Raw genomic sequence first — 24,540 nt, forward strand, 5'->3', positions numbered from 1 at the left:
TCGTTGAGCAGTGGTTTGTAGTTCTCCTTGAAGAGGTCCTTCACATCCCTTGTAAGTTGGATTCCTAGGTATTTTATTCTCTTTGAAGCAATTGTGAATGGAAGTTCGCTCATCATTTGGCTCTCTGTCTGTTATTGGTGTATAGGAATGCTTGTGATTTTTGCACATTGATTTTGTATCCCAAGATTTTGCTGAAGTTCCTTATCAGCTTAAGGAGATTTTGGGCTGAGACGATGGGGTTTTCTAAATATATAGTCATGTCATCTGCAAACAGGGACAATTTGACTTCCTCTTTTCCTAATTGAATACGTTTTATTTCTTTCTCTTGCCTGATTGCCCTGGCCAGAACTTCCAACACTGTGTTGATTAGGAATGGTGAGAGAGGGCATCCCTGTCTTGTGCCAGTTTTCAAAGGGAATGCTTCCAGTTCTTTCCCATTCAGCATGTTATTGGCTGTGGGTTTGTCATAAATAGCTCTTATTGTTTTGAGAGACGTTCCATCAATTCGTAGTTTATTGAGAGTTTTTAACATGAAAGGCTGTTGAATTTTGTCAAAGGCCTTTTCTGCATCTATTGAGATAATCATGTGGTTTTTGTCGTTGGTTCTGTTTATGTGATGGATTACGTTTATTGATTTGCGTATGTTGAACCAGCCTTGCATCCCAGGGATGAAGCTGACTTGATCGTGGTGGATAAGCTTTTTGATGTGCTGCTGGATTTGGTTTGCCAGTATTTTATTGAGGACTTTCGCATCAATGTTCATCAGGGATATTGGTCTAAAATTCTCTTTTTTGTTGTGTCTCTGCCAGGCTTTGGTATTGGGATGATGCTGGCTTCTTAAAGTGAGTTAGGGAGGATTCTCTCTTTTTCTATTGATTGGAATAGTTTCAGAAGGAATGGTACCAGCTCCTCTTTGTACCTCTGGTAGAATTCAGTTGTGAATCCATCTGGTCTTGGACTTTTTTTGGTTGGTAGGCTATTAATTATTGGAACCTGTTATTGGTCTATTCAGAGATTCACTTTCTTCCTGGTTTAGTCTTGGGAGGGTGTATGTGTCCAGGAATTTATCCATTACTTCTAGATTTTCTAGTTTATTTGTATAGAGGTGTTTATAGTATTCTCTGATGGTAGTTTGTATTTCTGTGGGATTTGTGGTGATATCCCCTTTATCATTTTTTATTGTGTCTATTTGTTTCTTCTCTCTTTTCTTCTTTATTAGTCTTGCTAGTGGTCTGTCCATTTTGTTGATCTATTCAAAAAACCAGCCCCTGGATTCATTGATTTTTTTGAAGTGTTTTTTGTGTCTCTGTCTCCTTCAGTTCTGCTCTGATCTTAGTAATTTCTTGCCTTCTGCTAGCTTTTGAATGTGTTTGCTCTTGCTTCTCTAGTTCTTTTAATTGTGATGTTAGGGTGTCGATTTTAGATCTTTCCTGCTTTCTCTTGTGGGCATTTAGTGCTATAAATTTCCCTCTACACACTGCTTTCATTGTATCCCAGAGATTCTGGTATGTTGTGTCTTTGTTCTCATTGGTTTCAATGAACATCTTTATTTCTGCCTTCATTTCATTATTTCCCCAGTAGTCATTCAGGAGCACGTTGTTCAGTTTCCATGTAGTTATGCAGTTTTGAGTGATTTTCTTAATCCCGAGTTCTAATTTGATTGCTCTGTGGTCTGAGAGACAGTTTGTTGTGATTTCTGTTCTTTTACATTTGCTGAAGAGGGCTTTACTGCCAACTGTGTGGTCAATTTTGGAATAAGTGCGATGTGGTGCTGAGAAGAATGTATATTCTATTGATTTGGGGTGGAAAGTTCTGTAGATGTCTACTAGGTATGCTTGTTGCAGAGCTGAGTTCAAGTCCTGGATATCTTTGTTAACCTTCTGTCTCGTAGATCTGTCTAATATTGACAGTGGGGTGTTAAACTCTCCCATTATTATTGTGTGGGAATCTAAGTCTCTTTGTAGGTCTCTAAAGATTTGCTTTATGAATCTGGCTGCTCCTGTATTGGGTGCATATACATTTAGGATAGTTAGCTCTTCTTGTTGAATTGATCCCTTTACCATTATGTAATGGCCTTGTCTCTTTTGATCTTTGTTGGTTTAAAGTCTGCTTTATCAGAGACTAGGATTGCAACCCCTGCTATTTTTGCTTTCCATTTGCTTGGTAGATCTTCCTCCATCCCTTTATTTTGAGCCTATGTGTGTCTCTGCACAGGAGATGGATTTCCTGAATACAGCACACTGATGGGTCTTAACTCTTTATCCAATTTGCCAGTCTCTGTCTTTTAATTGGGGCATTTAGTCCATTTACATATAAGGTTAATATTGTTATGTGTGAATTTGATCCTGTCATTATGATGTTAGCTGGTTATTTTGCCCATTAGTTGATGCAGTTTTGTCCTATCATTGATGGTCTTTACAATTTGGCATGTTTTTGCAGTGGCTGGTACCAGTTGTTCCTTTCCATTTTTAGTGCCTCCTTCAGGGGCTCTTGTAAGGCAGGCCTGGTGGTGACAAAATCTCTCAGCATTTGCTTGTCTGTAAAGGATTTTATTTCTCCTTCACTTATGAAGCTTAGTTTGGCTGGATATGAAATTCTGGGTTGAAAATTCTTTCTTTAAGAATGTTGAATATTGGCCCCTCCTCTCTTCTGGCTTGTAGAGTTTCTGCCGAGATATCCGCTGTTAGTCTGATGGGCTTCCCTTTGTGGGTAACCTGACCTTTCTCTCTGGCTGCCCTTAACATTTTTTCCTTCATTTCAACCTCGGTGAATCTGACAATTACGTGTCTTGGGGTTGCTCTTCTTGAGGAGTATCTTTGTAGTGTTCTCTGTATTTCCTGAATTTGAATGTTGGCCTTCCTTGCTAGGTTGGGGAAGTTCTGGATAATAACCTGAAGAGTGTTTTTCAACTTGGTTCCATTTTCCCCGTCACTTTCAGGTACACCAGTCAGACATAGATTTGGTCTTTTCACTTTGTCCCATATTTCTTGGAGGCTTTGTTCGTTTCTTTTTACTCTTTTTCTCTAAACTTCTCTTCTCACTTTATTTCATTAATTTGATCTTCAATCACTGATACCCTTTCTTCCACTTGATCGAATCAGCTATTGAAGCTTGTGCATGTGTCACGTAGATCTCGTGCCATGGTTTTCAGCTCCATCTTGTCATTTAAGGTCTTCTCTGCACTGTTTATTCTAGCTAGCCATTCATCTAATCTTTTTTCAAGGTTTTTAGCTTCCATGTGATGGGTTCAAACATCCTCCTTTAGCTTGGAGAAGTTTGTTATTACCAACCTTCTGAAGCTTACTTCTGTCAGCTCGTCAAATTCATTCTCCGTCCTGCTTTGTTCCATTGCTGGTGAGGAGCTGTGATCCTTTGGAGGAGAAGAGGCACTCCAGTTTTTAGAATTTTCAGCTTTTCTGCTCTGGTTTCTCCCCATCTTTGTGGTTTTATCTACCTTTGGTCTTTGATGGTGGTGACCTACAGATGGGGTTTTGGTGTGGATGTCCTTTTTGTTGATGTTGATGCTAGTCCTTTCTGTTTGTTAGTTTTTCTTCTAACAGTTAGGCCCCTCAGCTGCAGGTCTGTCGGAGTGTGCTGGGGTTCCACTCCAGACCGTGTTTGCCTGGGTATCACCAGTGGAGGCTGCAGAACAGCAAATATTGCAGAACAGCAAATATTGCTGCCTGATCCTTCCTCTGGAAGCTTTGTCCCAGAGGGGCACCTGCCTGTATTAGGTGTCAGTCGGCCCCTACTGGGAGGTGTCTCCCAGATAGGCTACACGAGGGTCAGGGACCCACTTGAGGAGGCAGTCTGTCCATTCTCCAAGCTCAAACACTGTGCTGAGAGAACCACTGCTCTCTTCAGAGCTGTCAGACAGGGATGTTTAAGTCTGCAGAAGTTTCTGCTGTCTTTTATTCAGCTATGCCCTGCCCCCAGAGGTGGCGTCTACCTTGCTGAGCTGCAGAGGGCTCCACCCAGTTCCAGCTTCCCCTGGCCGCCTTGTTTACCTACTCAAGCCTCAGCAATGGCGGATGCCCCTCCCCCTGCCAGGCTGCTGCCTTGCAGGTCGATCTCAGATTGCTGCACTAGCAGTGAGCAAGGCTCCATGGGCGTGGGAGCCTCTGAGCCAGGCATGGGATATAATCTCCTGGTGTGCCATTTGCTAAGACCATTGGAAAAGCGCAGTATTTGGGCAGGAGTATCCCGTTTTTCCAGATACTATTTGTTGTGGCTTCCCTTGGCTAGGAAAGGGAAATCCCCTGACCCCTTGCACTTCCTGGGTGAGGCGATAACCGGCCCTGCTTCATCTCACCCTCCATGGGCTGCACCCACTGTCCAACCAGTCCCAATGAGATGAACCAGGTACCTCAGTTGGAAATGCAGAAATCACCCATCTTCTGCATCAATCACGCTGGGAGTTGCAGACTGGAGCTGTTCCTACTTGGCCATCTTGGAACAGAATCTGGAAATTCTTTTCTTTAAGAATGTGGAATATTGGCCCCTAATCTCTTCTGGCTTGTAGGGTTTCTACTGAGAGGTCTGCTGTTAGTCTGATGGGCTTCCTTTCGTTAGGTGACCAAGCCTTTCTGTCTGGCTGCCCTTAACATTTTTTTCTTTCATTTTGACCTTGGAGAATCTGATGATTATGTGTCTTGGGGATTATCTTGTAAAGTATCTTACCAGGGTTATCTGCATTTCCTGAATTTGAATGTTGGCCTGTGTAGCTAGATTGCAGAAGTTCTCTGGGATGATACCCTGAAGTATGTTTTCCAAATTGATTCCAGCCTCTGCATCTCTTTTTGGTACCCAAATCTGTCATAGATTTAGTCTCTTTACGTAATCCCATATTGGAGGTTTCGTTCATTCCTTTTTCACTATTCTTGTCTGTCTGTAATTTCAGAAAGACAGTCTTCAAGCTCTGAGATTCTTTCCTCTGCTTGGTCTATTCTGCTATTAATACTTTGAATTGCATTGTGAAGTTCTTGTAGTGTGTTTTTTGGCTTTATAAGGTCGATTATGTTTCTCTCTATACTGGTTATTTTGGCTGTCTACTCCTGCATTGTTTTATCATGTTTCTTAGCTTCTTTGCATTGGGTTACAACATGCTCCTTTAGTTCAGCGAAGTTTGTTTGCTTGTTTTCATCCACATTCTGAAGACTACTTTTGTCATTTCAGCCATCTCAGCCTCAGCCCAGTTCTGAACCCTTGCTGGAGAGGTGTTGTGGTCATTTGGAGGAAAGGGGGCACTCTGGTTTTTTGAGTTTTCATTGTTTTTGCATTGATACTTTCTCATCTTTGTGGGCTTATCTACTTTTGATCTTTAAGGTTGCTCACCTTTGGATGGGTTCTTTTGTGTTTTCTTTTGTTGTTGTTATTGTTGTTTTTTCTTTGTTTGTTTTTCTTTTAACAGCCTGGCCATTCTTCTGTAGGGCTGCTGTGTTTGGCTGGGGGTCCAATCCAGACCCTAGTCACCTCGGTTTTTCTAGTACCTGAAGGTATCATCAGTGAATGCTGCAAAACAGCAAAGATGGCAGCCTGCCCCTCTCTCTGGGAGCTCTGCCCTGAGGGCTACTGACCTGTTGCTGGCCTAAACATGCCTGTACAAGGTGGCTGGAGACCCTGGTTGGGGTCACTAGGAACGAGATCAGGGACCTGCTTAAAGTATCAGTCTGGCTGCTTTTTGGTAGAGCAGCTGTGCTATGTTGAGGATCCCTTCAGCCCCCAATCCAAGGTCTGCAGGGTGGACTAGCTGAGATGCCCAAACAGCAAAGGTGGTGGCCTGCCCCATCTCGTGGGCTCCCCCATTCCAGGGAGAAATTAGAACTCTGTTGGTCATAGAACATGGGCAGGGGTGGCCTGGGGCCCCAGCTGGGAGGACCTGCCCAGCAAGGAGGAATGGATCCTGCCCCCTTTTATAGAAGCAGTCTGGCCACACCTTAACAAGACAGTCATGGAGTCCTGGGGACCCATCCCCGGCCATGTCAGCTTGGACTCACCAAAGCCCACAGGCTGGAATGGCTGAGTCACCCAAACAGCAAAGATGGTGACCTGCTCCTCCCCCTGGGCACCCATCCCAGGGAGAAATCAGACCTCTGTCCTTAGAGCAGGGTAGCCAGAGGCCCTGACTGGGAGGACCTGCCCTGCAAGGAGGAGTGGATTGGGTTCCTGTTTGAAGAAACAGTCTGACTACACCTTGACAAAAGAGCTCTGCCATGCTGGGGAGCTGCCTCTGTGCTGGTCAACTTGCACTCTCCACACCCTGCAGGCTGGAGTGGCTTAGTTGTCCAAACAACCAAGGCGGTGGCCCACACCTCTCCCTCAGGGAGAGATCAGAACTCTGTCCATAGAAAATGGGCAGGAGTGGCCGAAGGTTCCAGATGGGAGGTCCTGCCCAGTGAGGAGGAATGTTTTGGGATACTGCTTAAAGAGGCAATCTGGGCACATTCTGGCAAAGCAGCTCTGCTGTGTTGGGGGGAATCTTTCCTTGTCCAGACCATTTGGATTTTCCAAAGCTCACAGGCTGGAATGGCTGAGTTGACCAAACAGCAGAGATGGTGGCCTGCCTCTGTCCTCCGGGTCTCTGACCCATCTCAGGCAGGCTCCACCCTGTTGCTAGTAGCTGGCTGGAATCCAAGCCAGTAGATCTTATCTTGTGAGGTACCGTGGAAGTGAGGCCCACAGACTGACACTGGCCCCCTGGATTCAGCTCCCTTCCTAGGGGTATATACAGGTCTCCTGCCTTGCTGAGGATCCCAAAGCCAGAGTAGGTAAAGCTCCTGGGTCTCTGTGTGTGCCTGAGCAGCTGCTGTGCTGAGACTCTACACAGCTCTGTGTGTCGGACCCAAGGCCCTGTGGTGTGGGCTCACAAGGGAATCTCTTGATTTGACAGTTGCAAAGATCTGTGGGAGAAGTCTGGTTTCTTGGGGTCACACAGTCACTCACTGCTTCCTGTGGCTGGGGATGGGGGTTCCCTTGGCTCTGTGTTGCTCTCAGGTGGGCTATCGCCCCACCCTGCTTTTCTATGTTCTCCATGGGTCAAGCTGTTTTCCTGATCAGCCTCACTGCGAGTACCTGGATATTTCAGTTGGAGGTGTGGTATTCACTTGCTCCTTTCTTTCCTCTTTGTGAGAGCCAGGTACCACAGCTGCTTCTAATTGGCCATCTCTGCCCTCTCCCCATCAGCTTCATTTCCGGTACATCACACAAACCATAGCAAAATAAAATGTGTAATACATGCTTGTATTAGTTTAATTACACTTAAGATTATGAGTCACAGAGACGCTTAGAAAATAATAGAAACTCCTTTCTTTCCTTTATTGTCAAACTCTTAGTTACCTATCTGCTTCTGACCACATTTAATTCACAGCTATGGTTTCGATAAGACCTAAAGAATTAAATCAGTTGTCCAAAAAAGAAATTCCAAGCCCTAAATATGCCTACCTCAAATATATGTTATCTGTGCATATTAAGGAAGAGTCAAGATGGAGGCTTAAAATGCTAGATAGTTGCTCCTTACTTAAAGTTTTTTATGTGACTACTCACCTATCTAATAACACAGTTATAATCATCTTATTTGCCTACTCTCACATGCCCATTCTGTCTTTCCTGGAGTGCCTAAATTCCTTCAGCCTGTTTCTGTATCTTAACCTACTGTCTAACCCTCTCCCTGTCCTGAGTGGAAGGGGCTAACAACTGTTTTTATGAACAGAAGTATTGGATCTGTGTATTTCTCTCATTTAGGCATAGGTAACAATTATAGGATTTTAAGGTTTGAAGTTTCATTTGGCCTGACCATCCTTTCCAGGAATTCCCTTTTCTTTGTCCCTGTCAAGTGGCGTTTCCCCTTGTTTAAATGTGTCCTGTGATGATAAGCTTACTCCAGCAGACATTTTCAAATGGAACTTCTGTCTTAGATTTTTCATTCGTTGAACCAAAATCTTTCTCCTTGTAATTTTTATCCTTTGTTCATAGTTCTACTCTTAGGGTAGTATACCTTTTTCCTTTCCACATGTTAGACCTCTGTAGGTTTGTACCTTGAGGCACACATGCCTTGTCTGCTTCAGATCAAATAGTTCATTTCTTTCACCATTTGTCATGGAGCTTAATTTTAAGCCCCTTTCCTTTTTGTATTTATTCTCTTCTAGATACAGTGCCCCTGGTCTCCAGAGTCCATCTCTGGGCTGTAAAATGGAGCCATGAAATGAGCAGGATATATATATGACCATACTAACTTAAGAGACACATGCACCTAAGCTTTCTAAAGGGAGAAGTGGGGTTACATGAGATTATGGTGTGAGAAAATGTTAAACAAATGAAAGGGTCTACTCTTCCAATTTTGGCCCTCTTTGGTTCCAGTGACTGGGGCACAAAGAGAAGACATGAAAAGAGATACTGAAAATCAGTCCCAATTAGGTTTAGAGAAGTACAAGTGGAGATGAAGGTGATTTACATTTCATGCCCTTTCAGGAAGGAGTAACCATTCTAATACATCCTTCTCAAAGAGTGCATGTTTAGTGGAACATCAGCCAATGATGACTTGTGGAAAAAAAGCAGAGTGTCACCATCAAATGGGGAACATCGAGAAGCCTTCATTTTAGTGCATCCACCCATCCTAACTTATTCTGCAGGTCGTTTTGCAGTTGAAGCCGTAAGGAAGGCAGTTTGTCATTTCTTTTTGAAAGCCCAGGTTTGTGTGTACCAGCATTAGCAAAGCCAGGAAAGCATCTTTGGTAGATACACTAACTGTGCTACAGGGTGGCCTCTCATGAAAGATCCTGGAAACCTAGAGGCTTATGAATATGGATACTAGAAAAACATTGTAGACTTTGTAGGGCCAATTCTAGAGTTTGAATATCTAAAAACTCACTTTATCATATCAAGGTCTTTTTTAGCCTCTACAAGTAATATCTGTTTTTAACATGAAGGAAATAAATCATGCAATGTTTAAAATTGCAAGGTATGTGTATACCAGGCAGCACAGACCTAAATTATGACTTTGAAGTTTTCTCACTGCAACATTTACAAACCCAGTCCAGCTTGTGGAAAACCATGGACAGATTTTGGTTTGGCTCAGGGCCTTCTTTTCATCTTCCAGGTCACTGAGTGCAAAGGAAAAAAAAAAAACCCTGTAAATATTTTTGAAGCACAGGTTTATTTTTCCCTCTTGCAAAATTAAAATTGAATTATTTAATTTTATCCAAGGGAACTAATTTGTTCTAGACAAGAGGCCGACTCTCTACCACTCAAAAATGCTTTTTAGACTGATTTCATGTTACTTCTGTGACTTTTGACTTTGTGATTTCCATGGAAGTCTTATTAGAAAATGAAAGATGATTGCAAAGGAGGTTTTCATTCTCAACATGTTTTCTAGCATTAGGGTTGGGTCTTCTCTTTTCTATATGGTTTCAAGTCTGATCAGTTTGCACACATTGCTCTGTGTCCCTAGTCTTCCCTTTGCAAAAAGACTTTCCAAGCGTTTTACCTTTAGTAGCAAAGAGTGTGTTTAGATATTGACATTTGAGTTCCAGTGCTTGTTTTGCTTTTAGTGACTTTAACTTACCTGACTTTGTTCCCACACCTCTTGACTGCAGACAATACTGTTCCTACTCCCCATAGATGCAGTCAGAACCAGTGGAAATAAAGTGTCTATGTGACAGCACTAGAAGTACATACGTTTTTAAAAATGAGACGTTAACACTATACACCTGGGGCTGCTAGAGCAGAATCATGAGTAGAGTCTGTGTGAAGAATTGGGTGTTTACTGAGCTGGGTCAGAGGAGGGTTATACTTCACTGAGATTGTGTCTCCTCTTTCTCTCATTGCAAACACACATGTACACCCACACACCTCATCTCTATTCTAGGTCCAAGTCTGCAACTGACATTCTAGTGGTTAGGCCTAGTGTGCTTCTCCTTCAATCCAGTCCTGGACAAATGCAGGTTCTCCAGGAACTGGTAATTCTGAGGGGTCCAGATAAACTACACGTTTCTTTTCATTTGAGGAATCTCTCAGAAACCATGTCAGTCTGGGTCTATTTTTCCCTTACATTTGGTTGACAGCTTGAGAAACCTGGATTGCTGTTCAGCCAGCAAAGAACGTCTTTACGAGTTGGTAGCCTAGGTTGCTACTTTATAATATGATTTGAAAGGTACTTGAAGGCCCATGCTCCAAAGAATCTTGTTCCAGAGCTTGTTGGGCTAGCTTTAGGGTCACTATTTGATGCCAGTTTCTTTGGGTCAACATGGTTCTCTCCAAATTCCATTTTTACAAAGCAGACATTTCCTTGGGAAGACTAAGGCAGCTTGTTTTGGTCTGTAGGTGGGAAGGGAGTAGATAGAAAAAGAGACACTAGTGTTAAATTAAATGAAATTTGGCCTAAAGCTGCCTCCATATGTAGCAAACTGTAACCTAATATGTAACCATATGTAGCAAACTGTAACTTAATATGTAAATACACTGCAATGTAACTTGCAGTGAGTATATTCTTGTCATGACTGATTGAGTTTTGGCCAATCATAGCAGCTGAGCTTTCAGCCAATCAGGGCCTGTAAACTGCTTAGACATGTCCAAATGAGGCAAATGCAGAGCTGTCACCAATCAGGCTATTTCTGCACGTCACTTCCTTTTTCTGTCTATAAATACTGCCTGCTCATATTGCTGAATGGAGCTTTCTTAACCTTTACTGCTTCAGAATGCTGCCTGATTCATGAACTGTTTCTTTGCTCAAATAAACTCTGCTAAATTTAATTTGTCTAACTTTTTTTTTTCTAGAATGAGAAAGTCTGGATGATTAGACAAGATTTTTTTTTTTTTTTTTGGTTGTCATAGTTCTATACCAGACTGACCTGATGTCAGGCCCTCTATGCCAAAGCTCATGATACAACCTCCCTAACATGGACTCAAAGCTCTAGGGTGGGGAAGAGTGAGGAAGCCTGGCCTGGGAAGTCCTATAAATAGCATTGCATACAGGACACTGCATCTGATTCACTGTAAGCTTTTGATGAGCTTTCCTCTACCTTCTGTCCTTCTGGTCCAGTTAGCTGGTTTTATACTGGATAATATATTAGCTAATCATTTTGCATCACCTGGCAACTTGTTAGGCATTTTGAATAAGGGAACAGAGCTAGCAGGGCCAATTGACTGACCATACATAGTGCATGTGACAAATTTACTGGCTTCCTAAATCTGCATTGGGATTTCTGATATAGCAGACTAGACTAATGAGGACGCCTGTGAAACAGCAGTGAATACAATTAATTTTGAAGTGAATTTTAGTGCCGAGCACTTCTCCCTGGCACTGCCTTCCCAGGCCTTCCCTCACCTGGCCCTTTTGGCCTTTGCTGTTGATATATCTGTTTCTAATCCCTATTGGTTAACATATTTTATTCAAAGGCATACACAAAGGCATTGCCATCAAATTTTCAGGAGATTCATATCTCCAACAGATAGCTAATAAAATGAATGATGAAATTATCTCAACTATTGAATTCAACAAGATGACATTTAGATAGTGATAAAATACACTTTGCATTTAGATGATAAAATGTGCTCACAAGTACAGCATGGGGAAAGATGTGACTTGCTAGTGCTTTATGTTAAAAATACCTGAAGATTTTAACAAAGGCATTGGTGAGAAGCAACTATGAGAAAAGCAAATACAGTCTTAGATTCCTCATAGGTGCAACAAGACTTGGATCATGAACAGTCATAATTAGTTGCACTCTGAGACTATCAGAAAATGTGTTGTGCTTCACATTGGGTCCTGCAAGACAGACACTGATAAATTAGGATATAATCAGAAAAAGTTGCATGGGAGTGTGAAGGTATCTGAGCAACATATCCAATGTGGAAGACTGAAAAGAAGAGCAGAGAAATGAGTGAGTAGAATAGACTCATTCTGTTTCGTTTGAGAGAGAAGAATTAAGGCCAAAATGTTTAAATTTATTCAATATACAAAAACTAGGGCATCATGTGGCCTAGAGCGCTTCATAACACATGTTTGCAAGTACAAACTGAATGACCATCTGCTACATTGGCCACATCATATGGCATAGAGTAGGCATATGATAAATATTTGTTAAATGTTACATACACGTAGGTGGAATGCTAGGAATGCTGTAGAAAGAAATAGTGGGAGGCTGGGCTTGATTAATGGTTCTAAATAGTGTTCTGCAAGATTTTGGTCAATGCCCCTTGATAAAAACATTGTATTGTCAAAGTATCTTGCAAACCCCTGTGCTAAACAGACTCAAACAAATTCCTTTACTTATGGACCACACAGAAGATTTGATATATTACATTTAGTATATTAAACATATATATATATATATATATATATATATATATATATATATATATATATATCTACGAGGAGATATATAAAGACAATAGAACTTGTCTGGGCATAGAACAATTTTGGCAGCACACTGGACTGGAGTATTATTACTGGAATACTTGTTTGGGGAACATTGAACTAAATTTGCGTTATATTTTTTCCAATTCTCTTTTATGTTTTCAAAGAGATGGGTGCAGATTGCCCATATGCTTCTAGTAAACTTTGTAGTTCTAGACCTATCTTTCTGGATCCTGTGGCTGTTCTATAGAAATTTATTAACCAGGATAGTGAAAAAGTTATCTCCTCTTTTTCAGCTCTATAATTTCTTCTTTGGTATATTCTTGTGTTTGAAGTCTAATTCACTCCTAGGAGTAAGTACTAACATTTATGATTTTCTTGGAATACTTTTATAATACAAAATTATTATCTTTTAGGCCTTTCCAAGACTCCTCATAAGGAGGAAAATTCTCTCTCAAAATGTTTAGAAAACATCAATGTACACAAATTATTTTCCTACTTTATTTATTATAGGTTTGTGGTCACAAGAAGTAGTCATTATCCTTAGATGAAATGGGTAGGGACAAATTTCGTGTATTGCTCTACCCAAAGTAAAGGAGTCAGAGGGTTTCTAGGCAAACACCATGAAAGCCTACTGTATTAACCAAATGAGCAAAGAGCACATTTCTTGAACAGTATTTTTCAAAGCTTAACCTCCTGTTTGAACAACCCCAGATGACTTATGTTTCTGGCTTTCTTAATTGTTGGTTAGCTTTCAATGCCTGAATTCAGAAAAATTAGAGATGGAAAAATCTCCCAACAGGTCACCCAGCTCATTTCTTTAAAGGAATTAACAGATGAATCTCATAATGTAGTCCCTGGTTTTAACGTTCTTGAGGATGGGCCGGGGTTTCATTTTAAATTCAGAAATATTGGGGCCAATTTCAGTCCTAGGATGAATTCAGAGACCACCAAGAGAGGTTCGTATATCCTACTTCTGCTTTCCCATTACTCAGAATGTGTAAAGTCATAAACTGAGTAGTTAAGTCATGATAGATCTTGGCTTTTCAACATGGAGCTGACAAGGGAAGGGTAGATAAGAAAGATGCAACCACAAGACTGAAAAATGTCAGTGTCAGGGGAAGAGGGCTAGGTGTTTATATCCCTGCATTGACCAGTTTTTGGATACAGACTGCTTCTGGAGAGAGATGAAAATTGGGGCAAGATGACTTTCTTCAGTTAAGAGCGGTTTCAGGAAAGAGACTCAGGCAACTGAGAAAATGAATGCCTCAGTCCTGAAGGATCTGGACAATGCACCACATCATTCATTACACCTACCCATCATGCTTGAGCTTGCTTCATACAAACTGTTCCAGAAACAGCTTCTTCAAGATTCTGATTGGTCTAATAGGAGGTTCTAATCCTACTTTCCTGGATACTGTGGTTGTTTTATGCAAATGTATTTCCCAGTTTTAGTGTGATAACTATCTCATCTTTCCCAGCTCTATAATTTCTCCTTTGGTATATTCTCATATTTAAAGTCTAATTCACTTGTAGGGTCAAGCCAGAACACGTATGAAGGTTAGTGGGACTAACTATAGCCTGTCTTGGTACAGATGGTTGCAAGGCCACTGCTAATACTCATTGTTTCCCTCTTAAAAACTACCCATTCTAGATTTTGCTCACTCATAGCGTAACTGGTGGTCTTGGTGTCTAACTGGTAAGGGAGTTAGAGCTCCTTTCTTGAGAGTTGGGAGCTTCTGCACTATGCTCTTCTAGACCATGGCTGATATATCTGTCCATTTACTATCATGATTGGGCACAGACATATCAAGAGATGTTTCAGTGGTATCAGATTCACTCTCCCTCCTTAGATTGTGTAACAGAAGCTCTACCTTCTCCTGATGAAATTACCTTCTCCTGATGTCAATTACCCCTGTTAGGAAGCCCTACCTTCTCCTGATGGCAATTACCCTGTTAGGAAGATGACTCCTTCATTTGCTGCCTGGCATGAAGGGCCTGAAGTTACTGTGAAGCTTTAGAACATAAATGAGACTCTTCCTATGTTCCATGGTGAAAATATTTCCTCTTTCTAAACCACAATTTCCAGGCCTATAGATTGGAATTGTAGGGATTTAAAGTATAAATTCCTCATGTGGCTTACAAATGATGACAAGTAAGGCCACTCCTGCTTCCACACCTTATTGTCGGACACATATAGTCTACCTACTGGGGACACAGCCCTATGCAATGCTTGGTAGTTTAGGGTATGTAACACATCCTGGATTAAGGTGTCTCATTCTTGCCAGTGAAGCAGAGTAGATTAAAGTGTTTTGTTCTGAACTGACATTAATGGCCAGGGATACTTACTGGTGTAAGGGACATGGCAGAAGGTATATCTAGGAATAATCAGACGGGTAGCAATGTCTGGGTTCCAGAGGAGGGCCAACTAGGATAAAATAGAACCCTAGTTCATAAATAGAGGCAAATATAGGCAAAGCAGAGGCAATAGAGGCAAAGTTTCAGGGTTCCAAATCAGCATGAGTTTAGGATAGAATTCACTCTCATTAGAGCTCTGTATTATAACAAGGAAGCATTAAAATTGAAGAACTGATGGAAAGGCTACTAATGATAGATAATTAAGGACATCAAGAACTTAAGGTACATATAACAACAGATTATTTACAGATTCCCTCCATTCAAAGGATAAGGGTACATGGTGCTTGCATATATTTTACTACTACTACTACTACTAGTACTACTATATAAGAATGTAAGTTTAGTTCCATTCTAGTATGAATTACTTTGGCTGCAAAAATTTCAAACCCAGTTGAGTACAAAAATGAAGATCACTAATTTTCTAGACTTTTTTGAAACTGCATGCTGCTCAGCATAGGTAGCCATGGCCTGGTGGAGGAGAGGAAGAGTGAAGTGAGTACAAACTAGCCAGTGCTGTTTATAGTGTTTGGCTATGAATCCTGCAGACCGCTCTTCATAGGCAATTGTAGATGCTTGAGGTGTAGGTGTGACTCTCCAAAGAGTCATTGTCTTGCCATTTTTAATATCCAGACCATAGTAATAGTATAATACAATACAATAGAAATAGCTAACAGCTATTGAGCACTTACTACATGCCAGGCAGTGTTTTGTGCACTTTACATATATTAATTTGTTTAATGTTGACAGCAACTCTAAGATAGGTACTAGAATAATCTTATTTTGCAGATAAGGGAGTTGAGGCCCAGTGAGATTACTTAACTTGCCCAAGATTGACACATTCTCAGAGGCAGAGCTGGCATTAAAAACTAGGAGGCCTATCTACAAAGTGCTTATTCTTAGACACTCTTCTAAGATGCAAATTGCTTTTATGGGTGGTGGCAGAGTAATCTGCTTATGTTGAAACACGCTTTGGTTCTCAGGCTAAATTAATCTACAGAAACACCTTACCAAGATGAGCAAAGGGGAAGAGAATAAGACCTGTAATATGTTACTTTATGTGTCTTAGTTCTGAAAAACAAGGATATATCAAAAAAAGAAATTATAGAGCTGAGACGGTAGGTAGATAAAATTTTGACTGAGGTAGAAACTACATTAAAAATAGCTTCATCAGTTTGGAAAGTGTAACTGTACACAATGGGAGGCTGGTAAAAATATATGGGCTATTTGTACACAACTCTTTAAGAAACTGGCTTAAAGAATTAGATTTTATGAGGTCAGTATAACTGAATTTCTCAAGAAAATAGAATTACCTGCCCTTGGGACAGTCACTTAAGTCACTTAGATTTTAAGCTCTCAAATTCTTCAACTGAAAAATGAGGGGATTGAAATAGATTATTGCTGAACCTCTTGACAACTCCAAAACTATAAAACTAGTGTTATGTAACGAATAAAACAAGCTGGAGCGAGAGGATTCTGGAGCTAGAAAATGCTGGTTGACTATTCACTGTTTACCACCCGAATGATTGTCACAGATTTGGTTCCCTAGGAAGCAGACTCTAAGATTTAGAGATTTGTGTGTGAGTGGTTTATTGGGGAACAACACATGAGAGGGGTGAGGCAAGTAGGGCTAGCCAGAGTGAGCATTTGAATTGTGATGTAACTGCAGTATATGTCTGAGCCAATTTTACTGGGGAACTCTGAGGCTGGGATCACCGTTTAAATAGCCCTGCCTGTTTTAATGGACTTTTAGCTAAGATGGAGTCTAAGGAACTAAGGCTCCATCTAAGAAAGGGGGATTTACCTTCCCTTCGGAAACAACTAAAGAAACAGGCAATACATGTGAAAAAATGTCTTTCAAGACCCTGGACATTAGGCAATTAAAGATGGCGATTGCTATGAGATGGAAAACAGAGTAAGTCCTATGACTTCTCCAGCCTATTGCCTTAAGGGAGTTTCTAGGCCATAGCTTAGGGAGAGGGAACCAAGATGGAGTCCAGTGGACATTTTGAGTTGAGGTGGAGTTGAGAGTTCTGGAAAAACACAGCGACTATATTTCACATGGCAAAATACTGCAAAGGAAAGAGTGAGAGGGATCCCTGGATATCAGTGGAGGGCACTCTCGTGCACACACTGGACTGATCGGCATATGTGTGTGGGGAGATTACCATCCAAGAGGAATAGAGGAAACAGTGGCTGCTGTTAACTCAGGGCTACGATTATTGTCATGGGACATTGGGCGCAGTGCTCAGAAAGGTCTTGCCTCAGTGTGGGGAAATAATTAGCCTTAGATTAAATACTGATCAATTTTATCCACATCATTTAACGGAATCCCAGAGCAGAGCTCAGGAACACATACAGAAATAGAAGAATATCCAGTACACAAAAAGTCTGGCATCAAATAAAATTAAGCAAGAATGCAGAAAATAAAATTTTCTGCATTTTGGCATCAAATAAATGTCTGGCATCAAATGATGTCTGGCGTCAAATAAAATTAAGCAAGAATGCAGAAAAGTAGAAAATTGTGGTTCATAAGTAGAATAATCAACCAATCAAACCAACCCATAACTGACATTATGTTAAAATAGTTATTGGAACAATTTAAATGTATCAAAGACATTTAAAAAGATAAGTAGAGGCGTGGAAGATATGAAAACATCCAAATCAAACTTCTGGTGATTAAAACCACAATGTCTGGCATGAAAAATACACTAGATGAAATTAATAGTAGATTAGATATTGCCAAAGAAAAGGTTAATGAACCTGATGACACATTAATAGAAAGTGTCAAAAATAAAACACACAGAGAAAAGCAATTTGTAAAAATTAAAATAACATCAGAGAGTTGGATTACTTCAAGTGGTCAAATGTGCATGTCATTGGACCCTCTAAAGGAGAGGAGGAGTGAGGGATCAAAGTATCTGAAAAAATAATGGCTGAAAATTTTTCTAATTTTATGCAATCCAAGAAGGTCAATAAGCCTCAAGAACAAGAAAAATAAGAAAAATCAAATCAAGATAGGTCTGAATCAATTTGGTCAAAAGCACTAATAAAGATAAAAATGTTAGAAGCAGCCAGAGATAAAAGATGCAGTATACACAGTGGAACAAAGGTAAGAATTACAACAAATTTTATATCGAAAAATTGTGCAAGCTAGAATTCAGTGGAATACCTTAAAATAATTAAAAGAAACGTGGCAACTTGGGATTCAATATACAGTGAAAATATCTTTCAAGAATAAAAACAAGCATACAAAACTTAAAGAATCCTGCAGACCTGAACTATAAAAAACGTTAAAGGAAGTCGTCAGGCAGAAAGGAAGTGACACCAGATGGAAAGAAGAATGAAGAAAACAGGAAATGAAAATTACATGGGTAAATATATGAGATCTTTTCTTTCTTTTCTTTTTTATTTTTCTGTAGAGACAGAGTCTCACTCTGTTTCACAGGCTGGAGTGCATTGGTATGGTCATGGCTACTGAGATTACAGGTGTGGCCACTGTGCCTGGCCCGGGATATTTTCTTATTATCTAAACTTTAAAAGAAATTATTAAAATTATTTAAAGCAAGAATAGTAAAAATGTAGCGTGGAACCTTTAACAAATGTAGAAGTAAAAATATAACATAAGTAGAAGTAAAAAATAATTGGATTGTTTAGACTATTTACATATAATGTGATTATTGATATAGTTAAGTGTATAAACTATTATTGACAGTTTTTGCCAATTGCTTTTATTTGTCCCTTCTGCTTTCTCTTTTCCTTTTCCTCCTTTTTTCTCTTCTAGATTATCTTGATTCAGAAATGTTTTTGACTTTGATGCATAAGAGATGAAAAGCAAATGAAGGGAGCCCTGTATTTGCCACAATTTACAATAGGAAAATCCTGCAAAAAACATACCAGATTCCATTCACGGATTCCAAGGTAGAGAGGGTTTAGAGAATTTATGGCTGAGTGAGTGCCTTCTTAGCTTCCTTCTTTTTATGTAGTTATTTTTCTAATTAATACTAGATATGAGATGAACAGAATCTCCTATTTTGGGTAAGGTGGGCCATGATTTAAATATCTCAATATCTTCCCAAAAGAAAGCAGATTTACAAGATGAAAGTATCACACCAGAAGTTTATTATGGAACAATCACATATGTTGACTCTCCTTTGACCCTCACTGCAGTGCACTTTCATTACTTATCAATCTGGGGGCGGGAAAAAGGGGTGCAGCCAGACAAGAGAATATACAGGAAAGAAGCATTGTATATAAGCCTATGTATTTCTGTAATGCTGCTACAGGGGGATACAAAATCAGGTGCCAGCCTCCAGAAAAAAAGAGATTTTTTTTCTTCCCTCAGTCTCATTTGGTCCCTCGGCGCTTCCTGAAGTAGCGATTATAGGCAGCATTGTATCCATAAACCATGGCGTAGCGTTCGCAAAGTCTGTAGTCATCACAGGCTTCCCTATTGAGCTCGTGGACAGGCTTAGAGCGTTCTCGGATCCTAGAAAGTGGAAGAAGAGGCCAAAATTGAGAAGGATAAAGTGGAAAAATACAAAAATGGAAAAGAAGAAGAAAATATTGGAGAGACTTTCTCTCCATGCCCCCCTATATTAAGAGATATTTAAAGAACAGGGAGAGGCTGGGTGCGGTGGCTCAGGCCTGTAATCCCAGCACTTTGGGAGGCTGAGGTGGGTGGATCACTTGAGGTCAGGAGTTCAAGACTAGCCTGGCCAACATGACAAAACCCCGTCTCTACAAAAAATGCAAAAATAGCTGGACATGGTAGCACGTGCCTGTAATCCCAGCTACTTGGGAGGCTGAGGCACGAGATAGTGCCACTATAATCCAGTCTGGGCAACAGAGTGAGACTCTGTCTCAGAAAAACCAACCAACCAACCAAAAAAAAAACCAGGGAGGGAAGGCAGAACAGGAGATTTTTTTTTTTTTTTTAATGAAAATAGAAGTTTTCTTTCTGTCCTCCTTTCTCTCCTCCTTCCTTCTCCTTTCCGGATCTTTCCCCAAATAATTTTCTAATAATTCAGTTGTTTTCTGAATATTGCTTTTAAGTTTTTTGATTTTAAAGATACAATTAGAAATAATGTATATGATGAAAAAGCTGTTTCCCACTCCAATTCAGATCTGTGATCTACACTGGGAAAAATGACCACTCCTCATGAAGTTTTGTTACTGACCTCTCTTGGACTTTAGCTCTCCATCTCTGCTGAGGGGATATGAAGGTATTTGCATTTCTCCTGTTAATGAAGGGATCTTAGAACAGAAAATAAATAAATGCAGTTTTAGCGACACATAGCTGGAAATATTTCCGTGAATATTCCTTGACACAAATATATTTGAAAGTGCCTTAACTTATGCAACTCATATAAACGGAGATTGGCAAAAATTAAAGGAGAGTATAAAGTAGATTTCATTAACTTCCTGATCAAATGAAATCAGTAATCAATCCATGTGTCTTAGAGACTTGTCATATAGGCTTTGTTGGTTTTGAGTTTGGACGATCACTTTGCCTTTCTTAATTTCTGTATTTCTACTTGGTAGATTTTAAATTCCTTTTGAGGAGAAATTCTCTGTCCTGAGGATTTATGAAGCATAACTAGATTGCCGATACATGAACAGTTTAAACACTATAAAAATAATGAATAAATTAAAAATGAGAGTGATGTGCCATTTCCTCCTATGCTCAGTCTTTATAAATCCAGCTATTCAACAGCAATCAGCTGGCTGGGTGTGGTGGCTCATGCCTGTAATCCCGGCACTTTGGGAGGCTGTGGTGGGTGGATCACTTGAGGCCAGGAGTTCGAGACCAGCCTGGACAACATGGTGAAACCCCATCTCTACTAAAAATACAAAAATTAGCCAGGCATGATGTCATGGGCCTGTAATCCCAGCTACTCAGGAGGCTGAGGCATGAGAATTGCCTGAACCTGGGAGGTGGAGGTTGCGGCGAGCCGAGATCACACCACTGCACTCTAGCCTGGGCGACAGAGTGAGACACTGTCTCAAAAAAAAAAACAAGAAAGAAAAACACAAAAAAACCAAAACAGCACTCAGCTTAACGTGGCGCCTGTGGTCTCCCAGCTGACTTGGCGTCCAGCTCTGTGCTTTACCATTTGTCATTACTCCTCGTTTTCCATCTGTGCAGTTGACGTGGTGCCAATTTAAAATTTCCAAATGAGATTTTATGGCTTCTAAATATGTCGCCTGTAGCTTAAATCCCATATTGCACTACTTCAAACTTAAAAAATTGCTCCTTTGGCAATTTTTATAGTCATTAGATTTAAAAATTTACTTTAGTTTTCCAAAAGAGGCCCCCTTTTCCCTCCCTGTTATATATCTTTCCATCTTGTTTATTTAAAAATAAGAAGAGGTTCTTTAATGCAAGGGATTTGAATAAAGAAGTTAAATATTCACTTACTAAGTTCATAAGATTCCATGCTTTCATGTGATTCTGAAATTAAAAAAAAAAGATTCATTATATCAATATTTATCCATGATTCATTATGTTATTATTTATCAATTTAGACACTGTGATAGTTTAAATACAGGGATGGAAGAAGAGGAAAGAGTCTAAAAACATGAAGAATATATTTAGCAGTGTGGTTATTAGAAATTTCAGGAATTTAGGATTTATGAGGTTTTTCTCTAGCTCTGGCCTTGCTGTGGATATCTCTATATTTTAGTTTCTCTGATGTTGAAGGAGGGAGTGGCCATTTTCAGCTAAAATTTCCCAAGGGCTATGACGTCTTCAGACAAGCAAAATAAGACACTTTAAGTGCTGTACAGAAGTCTCCAGAGAACCTTCTTCTCTGATTTATTCAGAGCCTGTTTGAGAACAGGGTCAAAGAGGATTAAGAAGGATCCAGAAGACAGCCAGGTTTCTCCAGGCAAGAGAACTACAGGGCAGTTGCTCTGCTGGGCTTACTAGGGCAGGTTTCTAAGAGGGTTCCGAAAGCCTCTTAAGAACCTGTGTTAAATTGGCAGCCACAGAAACCACTAGCTCCAGCTGACAGCTCACCCTGGGCACGATGCCAGTTCAGAGAGAGAACTGAAACGATATCAAAGCCGAAGTTTTCTTCTTTCTGCCACTCTCCTGAGCACAGCAGATAAATTTTGGAATAAGAAGCTTCTATTAATATTTGCCAGCAAGTGAATTTTCTTCAAAACTTAAAAAGGAGGTGAAGAAATCAAATCCTCTAATACAGAAAATTTGTGAATACAAGAGTGAGAAGCATAATCTTTATGGTTGTTAATGTAATTTAAATTTTAAAACAATGAAAATATCTAGGTAATTGAAACAAAAGACTGAAATAAGTAAATAACTTTGCTTCAGATTTCCTTTTATAAGCTTTGAACAAATGCAGGTATATTTAATGACATATAGAAAACAGGCAAAATTTATTTTCTGACAACAGGAGTTATGAAAATGATTCTTTTCTAAAATTCTTTTGATGTAAAACTTTATTTTAAAATTAATTAACTGAACAAACATAGTAAGTTCATGAGATTGTCCAGTCCCTAGAAAGGGCTATACTTAATACTTCACATAAAAATGGATTTTCTCAAAGGCAAGTGGTTTAAACAATACCCTTAACCCATTGATACCAAAGTCTAAATAAATATCCTTAAAAATGAGGATGCAGGGGGCTGGGAATTTGGTATCTTCTTTCTGAAATATGAGTTTCTAGATATACAGAGACTTACCACTGAACGGGTTTGCCTGTTAAGTTGCATAAGACTCTGGATATTTAGGATATAAAAAAGACTTAATAGAACAGATCAGTTTCTGCGGAGACTGGGAAATGTGAAAGTAATGGTACTTTAAGATTATAACAGAGAAAGGGGGAAGAAGAGGAGGAGGGAGAGGAAAAATAGAAGTAAGCCAAAGTCAGAGGCAGAAAAGTAAACACAGAGAAATGGGAGAAAAGTTTCTCACCATAACACAAAGTTACTACCGCTAAGGCGGCCAGGATGGCAAGAAGGATCAGGCTCTTCATGGTTTCGTCCTGCAGGTCAGTCTCAGGGTCTTGTGTAGCAGCAGTAGGGAGAGAGGCTCCTACGGGATGTTAGTGGAAGGCTGTGAGGTTTTTATAAGAACCAGAGCAGTTGAGAGGGGAGGAACCAGTGGGAGAGAGCTGGAGAAGGTGGGGAAGGGTTGGCACTGAACTAGCATTGGAACTTTTCCCAAACAGTCATTCCTTCCAGATATTATCTACTCTGAGTGGGCAGTTTTCCCTAACTGCTGGACCTGACTGTGTTACACAGGATGCTGCTCTGGTGCAGAAGTTTTGGCCATCGTATGCTTGGGGACAGACCTGGGCAAAAGCCCACAGAGGAAGTTGCCACAAACACATGATCTACCCTCCTGGCCCTGACCGCAGGGCTTTTGGGTTTGGTCCACAGACAGAGCCCTAGTGTTCTGTTTGTTACCCTGATTGATTGATGAGAGGTTTTGGGGGAGAAAGGACTTCACTTTCTTTTCTTTTCTTCTTTTTAACCTTTGCCTCTTCTTCTAGGAGAACTTCGCTTTCTACACTGATTATAATTTAGACATCTTCCCAGTAGGGCTGAATCCTAGACCAATCTATCAATCCCAGACTAATCAGGCATTTGCCTGGGGATATGCATCTTTGGCATTTTTCCAAGGGTTCATCAGGATGGAGATATCCGGTGCACCATGAGTTCTGTTTCCTTAATCAACACCGTTGTAACTTGCCCATCCAGTTTTGTGACATTAATTCAAACCTGTGCCCTAGTCCTCTTTTAGGCAGCGTATCAGTGCTGGAAAGTGCAGCAAGGATAAGAGGGTACTGTTCTCTCATTTCTGAGGGCGTTGTCTCGATAATTAACTAACTTGATAGACTTTTTAGTGAGTGGCAGGTGAGATGCAAGGTACTGTGCTAGGTGCTGTGGGGGATGTACAGACAAACAACACACCTCCCTAAGGAGGTAAGTAATAGCTACTTACTATTCACTTTGCTCTTTCACTGTAATGTATCCTCAAGCACAGGTTTTCACTACACCATCAGGCCCAGAAGTACTAGCTTATTTTCCACAGGAGGATTTCAGTTTGATGCCTCTGGTTATCTTGTATAGAGAGGTCTTTTCTTTCTTTCTTTTTTTCCCCCTTCTTTTGCAATCACAAAATCTGTCCTACCAGATGTGCCTCTCTTGCTTGGGAACCCAATAGTTTTCTTTGCAGACAACAGACTTGAAGTCACAGAGCAGCAGATTGTAGAAGAGCTACAGCTTCGGGACCTCTGACTCTTGAGCTGGAACAGCAATAGGGCTGGGTTGGGGGTGGGGTGGATGTGTCTTTCAATACTGATGTATTTCAAGGAGCAGTGATGAACTAGGTGGAGCCTCATGCTTCATTCTTTTTGTCTTGTTGGGATGGAGTTTCCCTCCCACCCTCCATCCTGTGAAGAGCTTTTATAAATATTAACAGAGTCCCCATTAAAAGAAATAGCTCCTTTGAAATCTGAAAGATTGAGTTCTGAGGGATCAATAAAATTCAAGTTTTCTCTCCAAAACCTAAGAAATAGATTATCTGTGCGAAAATCTTAAAGAAAATCTCAGAAAGAAGACCGTGTATGTTCATCCTTGATAAATTCAACCATCACAATTTCCACTAATGAGACTGGCGGTTGTTCCACTCTTTAAACCACAACCTACTATGAGTGTTAGTTTCAGTGTCCATCTTGGAAGATGAATCATCTGAATCATTACATGATCAATGAATAATTTAAAGTGCGAAAGCCAGTTCACTA

The 24,540-nt window shown here is 40.3% G+C and overlaps 1 protein-coding gene across 2 annotated transcripts, besides 1 other annotated feature; it reads right to left on the reverse strand.

Moving 5' to 3' along the window:
• Nucleotides 17,718-18,917: an enhancer, noted in NCBI's record as "CDK7 strongly-dependent group 2 enhancer chr12:15033676-15034875 (GRCh37/hg19 assembly coordinates)". NCBI's record gives its function as "activates an origin of replication core promoter dependent on BRD2, BRD4, P300/CBP, MED14 and CDK7 cofactors, with strong dependence on CDK7, by STARR-seq in HCT116 cells {active_cell/tissue: HCT116}" and the evidence as "EXISTENCE:reporter gene assay evidence [ECO:0000049][PMID:35650434]".
• Nucleotides 17,840-22,830, reverse strand: MGP (matrix Gla protein). 2 transcript variants are annotated; one of them, NM_001190839.3, is made up of 5 exons: nt 22,707-22,830; nt 21,789-21,863; nt 21,189-21,221; nt 19,948-20,023; nt 17,840-19,256 (listed from the first exon to the last, which is right to left on the reverse strand). In NM_001190839.3, exons 1-5 carry the CDS (start codon nt 22,765-22,767, stop codon nt 19,115-19,117), a joined length of 387 nt encoding a protein of 128 aa, NP_001177768.1. In that variant the 5' UTR covers nt 22,768-22,830; the 3' UTR covers nt 17,840-19,114. The 2 variants fall into 2 exon arrangements, with proteins under 2 accessions (NP_001177768.1, NP_000891.2); NM_000900.5 differs by lacking the exon at nt 21,789-21,863.

This window comes from Homo sapiens, chromosome 12 (assembly GCF_000001405.40).
Source record: "Homo sapiens chromosome 12, GRCh38.p14 Primary Assembly".
NCBI lineage: Eukaryota > Metazoa > Chordata > Mammalia > Primates > Hominidae > Homo > Homo sapiens.

Excerpts from the sequence above, each read along its gene's own strand:
- MGP (NM_001190839.3), bottom strand. The coding sequence starts at position 22,767 with ATGAAGAGCCTGATCCTTCTTGCCATCCTGGCCGCCTTAGCGGTAGTA. Across the intron at positions 21,864-22,706 it reads GGTAGTAACTTTGTGTTATG|GAGAGTGGCAGAAAGAAGAA; the intron begins GTGAGAAACTTT and ends TGCTGTGCTCAG. Across the intron at positions 20,024-21,188 it reads CATGGAATCTTATGAACTTA|ATCCCTTCATTAACAGGAGA; the intron begins GTAAGTGAATAT and ends TTCTGTTCTAAG.